The sequence below is a fragment of the Homo sapiens genome, chromosome 1 (assembly GCF_000001405.40).
Source record: "Homo sapiens chromosome 1, GRCh38.p14 Primary Assembly".
NCBI lineage: Eukaryota > Metazoa > Chordata > Mammalia > Primates > Hominidae > Homo > Homo sapiens.
The window spans coordinates 187,842,213-187,848,212 of NC_000001.11; positions in this window are offsets into that span (position 1 = coordinate 187,842,213).

Sequence of the window (6,000 nt, forward strand, 5' to 3'; positions counted from 1 at the left end):
TGGTTTTCTGTTCCTATGTTAATTTGCTTAGGATAATGGCCTCCAGCTGTATCCATGTTGCTCAAAGAATATAATTTCATTCTTTTTTTATGGCTGTGTAGTATTCTATGGTATATATGCACCACATTTTCTTTATCCAGTCTACCACTGACGGGCATTTAAGTTGATGCCTTGTCTTTGCTTTTATGAATAGAAGCTTACTTTTTAGCTCATGTAACTATGTCATGTGGGTAATCTTCCATGCAATAATTTAGGCAACCTATGTTCTTCCTACCTGTGGCTTTGTCATGCCCTGGATGTCAGCATTCTCAGCTCAACCTTTTGCATCTTTTGATGAGACAGGTAGAAAGAATGTGGAGGGTCATGTGGTAGGTTTTTTTGGGCCAAATTTGAAAGTGGCAAACCTGACTTCTATTCTCATTCCATTATCTGAAACTCAGCTGCACAGCTATTTCTAACTGCAAGGGAAGAATATAGGCTAGTTTTGTGATAGTCTTTCTAGGAAGCAAGAGCCAAAAAGTGTCAGGTTCTAACTGAGGTCTGAGAGGAGTCAGTGGGCAAGTAGCAGGTAGCTGGAAAAACACTCAAGGAATCGTAGATAGTTTTGACATGGATTTACTCTCTCTTGGCACATGAGCAAGCCATATGTACAGCATTAGCAGGGTAATTATACTTTTACAAACAAAAGGGCTCTGAGCCAAGCATGAGTTCACGTGGGTGATCACCTAATGTGCCTCACGTGGTGTGGTTACATAATGTGTGGGGTTGTGCTCCTGCGCTCCAAACCCGCCGAGTCATGCAGCACCAGAAGGCCGCCTCAGGCCACTCCTGACTAAAGTGAAGCCATTTCCTTTACAAAGAGTTTGATAAACAACTAGACAAACTCTGCTACAGTAATATAGACAGGCCAGCATCTGGGACACTTTCTGTTAATGCTCCTTGAAATTTTAATCAAAACCTATCTCAACAATAAGCATCTTCAGATAATTAATTTTTAAAACTATCCTTTTAAATACTACTGTGAATTATCAAGGGCTCCTATTTTCTAGCAGATAAATACTTTTATTATAAATATATAATGTCTTCTCTTTGACCCTTTAGCCATAGGAGTATTTTAATACCAAGTCCTCAAATCCAGCTCTGAATGTCCTGGCTCTCTTGACAGTAATTTAGGGCAATATGAACAGAGCACTGTTTTAATGCATTTTCTGAAAATGTGTTTCTCTACCTATATCTAAATAAGGCCTGATTTACTGTACTCTATCATGATAGAGAAAGCATCTGGCTGAAAGGCCACAGAGCTATTTGTGTTAATGAGCAATTCTCTAATAAAAATCACTTAACTTATTTCTTGAAGACACTACAATCTCTAGGACTGCTCTCTAAGTTATCTGGAATGAAATTTTGTGTGGTTCCATATATCTATATCTGACATTACATTTAGAGAGGAGAGATTCAAATTCCCCAGCCTCTCCTTCCAGTCCTCAGTACTGAAGGACTACCCAAGGAAATATGTCGTGAATTAATTTGGAGAAGTCTGTTGGGACAGTACTCATTTTAGAAGTGGGATATGTGCATCTCTGTATTTATGTGTGTGGTGTGCTTGGGATGAGTGTTAGAGTGAACCCTTACTTTTACTACACAAAACTTAACTGGGAATAATGTCCATATATCTTTCTTTAGCATAGTACATACTCTACTAAATAAAATATTTAAATAAATTGCAGTTGGTCACTGTGAATCCGTGGACCCTTGTGTATCTTCTTATTCCTGGCATAATGTCTCCAATGTATCCTGCACATACCCGACAGTGATAATTTCTTTAGAAATTAGCCTCTTAGTCATATAGTCAATATATGAAGTTACCAGGTCAATAAAAGACTTATAATTGTTTATAATTATTTTTCTTATTTCTCACCACTACTTAATATCAAGATTATTCCTTTTCTTTCACTTTGTCCTGCCTCTCACCAGTCAACTGAAGCTGAGAATTTCAGCCTGAAGCTGACATGACACTACAACTGTGAGAGCCGGATTCACTGTGGTATTTTAAAACATCATTCCCTGTCTTCCTTAGGTGGCACTCAACTTGGAGGAGTCTTTTTTTTTAACTAGTTTTTGTACATTTTCCTACTTTCTCTAAAATGATAGCAAATTAAGGGCTAATCTATGTTGCTTTTACTCAGATTTTTTCTTTAAACGCTAACATTTTAAGTCCAGAAGCCTTTTTTTCCCTGAGTTTAAGGAGGAAAAACAGGGCTTTCATGTATTGTGGTGAATCATGGTGAGCTGTTGCATATAGAGTCTTAGTGGTATCTTTTTTGGTTGTCTTAATACTCATTATTTGTCTTCTCGTGGCTTTGGACAGATTTCCTTTCATTCTTTTCTCTTTATATGCGACATTTCTGTAATTGGAAGAAATAATATGAAGGTCCTTGCTCTTGTAGTCAGCATGTTTGCTACATTATTCTACTGTGTATGGATCCATGGTTTGAACCTCCTGCAACTTTTGCTCATTTTTCTGTTGTTTTTTTTTTCTAACAAAGCCACTAATATTAAAACAGAAGAGAAAAAAATTCCCTCTAACACATGACTAGAATTTGGGATCATTTATTTTGGTTACAGTGCTCATAAATGTGAACTAAAGAATATGCAGGAATATAATATACATGATCAAAGCAGTATTTGTCTTAATTTAGCAAATATGTATTGAGCCTCGACTATGTACCCAAATTTCTCAGTGTTGGAATGTATCAGTGAACAAAATAGACAAAAATTCCTATCTCTATAGAGTTTTTATTATAATGGAAGTAAGACAAACAGTAAACACAACAGACAAGTACATTTTATTACATGTGAATTGTACAAACTCCGTGTCACCCTTTCAGATTTCCTTGAATGCCTTTTTTCTTCCTAAAGCACTTTTGCTTCCCATATCTTCTGCTGTCTGGGAACAACAATGTACTTGCCTAGGGATTTCTGACCTCTTTTTATTTTTTAACTTTTATTTTAGGGTCAAGGGAACATACGCAGATTTGTTATATAGATAAACCTGTAATCATGGAGGTTTGGTTTGCAGATTATTTAATCAACCAGGTACTAAGCATAGTACTTGATAGTTCTTTTTCCTGATCCTCGCTCTCCTCCTACCTTCCACCATCTAGTAGGCCCTAGTGTCTGCTGTTCCCTTCTTTGTGTCTATGTGTTCTCATTATGTAGCTCCCACTTATAAGTGAGAACATGTGGTATTTGGTTTTCTGTTTTTTGTATTAGTTTGTTAAGGAAAAGGACCTCCAGCTCCATCCATATTTCTGCAAAGGACAGGATCTCATACTTTTCATGGCTGCATAGGAGACCGCTGACCTGTCCTTTTTAAGGGTTATCACTACCATAGCTGAAACCCAGTGTTTCTAATTCCTTCACAACTTAAGGACTTTAATAAAATGTATACTACCCCAAGTGTCCACCAAAAGGGGCAAATCATTCAACACTGTCTCTAGTTTCTTCATTTCTTTTAAAAAGTACTTTTTTGAACAGTTAAGTCTGTCCAGACACTGTTCTAGTTCCTTAGGCTACATGAGTGTACCAAGATCTGTGCCCTCATGGAGCTAACAATCTAGGAGTAGTAAGAGAACCAATGATAAGCATTTTAGAAGGTGATAAGTGAGACAGTAAAAATAAAAAGTACATAGGAAAAGGGAGATTAAGAGAGCTGAGTGTGGAATGGTTGCAGTTTTAAAAGAGGAAGTTAGTGTAGGTTTCACTGAGGAAGAGGCATTTGAGAAAAGACATGGAGGGGGGTTGAAGAATAGTAATGAAGGAAGAATAATAAGGAATGAAGGCTAAGAGGTAATTAGTATCACCTCATGTAGGATAGCTTAAGCATCTTGTCTTTTACTCTAAGTGAAATGGGGAGCTGTTGCAAAATTTGGGGCAAAGGAATGACATGGTATGTGTGTGTGTGTCCAAATACATACATGCAATTGATACATAAATCTGCTGAACATGTAATTCACATTTCCCTGAGCTAAAACCTCAGTCCTTCCCCTTTTATCTATGTCACTTAGATTTCAAAAATTATTGGAAGTAAGATAGATAGGAATTCACACATGCAAATTGTTCCACTGTTTCTGCTACTGCTCTTGCTGGTTGTCTTATTTTCACTGTTCACAATTCCACATCAATGCTACCTATATTGATAGACAACTGGGTTGGCTGCTCTACTCCTTTTAGTTACCCATCAGAGGCAAGGACATATCTCAGTGGCTGAGATTATTAAGACATCTGCCTGTGCTATTTTAATTTTAAATAACTAATAAGCTATGCATCTGATATTACACTTGAGCTGCCTGTGTATCGGTGTAGCACTGCCCTGGACTTCAAAATATTTTCTCTGGCCAATTCAGGACACAATATCCTTTTTTCAAGCCTGTTCTTTGGAAGACGAGTTCTCATTATAGTTGCATGGTAACACCAATCCCTGGTAACACCAGAGTAAATGGTCAGTGCCATAAGGCTATGTCTGGGCAGTTTAACTGCAGTCTCATGCTGTACCAAACATCATGCACTTTGACCATCAATCAGGTCCTGCAACTGATTACCTCAGGTGACTCCTTTACAACCTCTAGCCATCTAACATGATGCCACATTCATTTTTCTCCCCTAAAATCTAGCATGTATCAAAGTTTTCAGTATATCATACATATAAGGAGTCCCAGTATAGATGGATTTCATGGGCATTGCAATGTACTTCTTAGAATGCATGTAAAAGTTGACAGTGGATGAAAATACCCAACATGTGACTATTTAATATAGCAGCTGACACATCCAAATAATCCAGTCATTACACTTGTTACAATAAAAAATGCTGTTCAAGATAGAAATTATTCACCTTAAAATATAATGGGCCAGGCGCGGTGGCTCACGCCTGTAATCCCAGCACTTTGGGAGGCCGAGGCGGGCAGATCACGAGGTCAGGAGATCGAGACCATCCTGGCTAACACGGTGAAACCCCGTCTCTACTGAAAATATAAAAACTTAGCCAGGCGTGGTGGCGGGCACCTGTAATCCCAGCTACTTGGGAGGCTGAGGCAGGAGAATGGCGTGAACCCGGGAGGTGGAGCTTGCAGTGAGCAGAGATCGCGCCACTGCACTCCAGCCTGGGCGAAAGAGCGAGACTCTGTCTCAAAAAAAAAAAAAAAAAAAAAAATTATGAACTCAAACCCAAGATGTACTGAAGTAGATATGATGTGACTATAGCTTAGGAATGACATGGAGGAAATTTCTGAATTTATTAGAAATGTCTGCTACCAAACAGAAGTCTCCATTAGTGTTTACATTTAAAAAATATATAATTGGCTATAAAACCTGTGATATCTCAAGGTCCAGGAGGTCTAAAACTTAGAGGTCAAGGTACAGATGGCCAGCAGCAGAACAAACATTAAGGAAGGAAAAAAGAATGACTTGTCATTTTCCCACCTGGAAACTAAGGGCTAGAACATGGCTATAGTGGGGCCAGATCTCAGTAAGGAAGTCAGGATCTCAAAGATCAGACATAACAGGAATTCAGTCATGGTAATGAGCAGGAAGGAGTCTAAAGGGGAAACTAATCATATGGTACCAGAGTCAAGGACACTGCCATATTAATACAATTTTCTGCCCCAATAACTTCTCTTTGACTCTTTGTTTTAGAGAAGAAAATTGTCTTAGGTCACAGCTGTCCTAGAGCATACAAGTGAGTATAGAAACAGGTGAATGTATGAACACGACTAGTTAGGATATAGAGATAGCAAAACTAAGGACACATATGAAAGGTAACTGTCAGTTCTGGGCTCTCTCTCTCTCTCTCTCTGTCAGACACACACACACACACATATTTCCACATTGTTAAATAAAACTACATAGCATCATTATTCAGTCGGAAAACTCCCGGATGAGAATGTATTTTGTGCACATTCTCAAATTTAGTATTTTGGCCTTGATTATTTTGGCAGTTCTGTA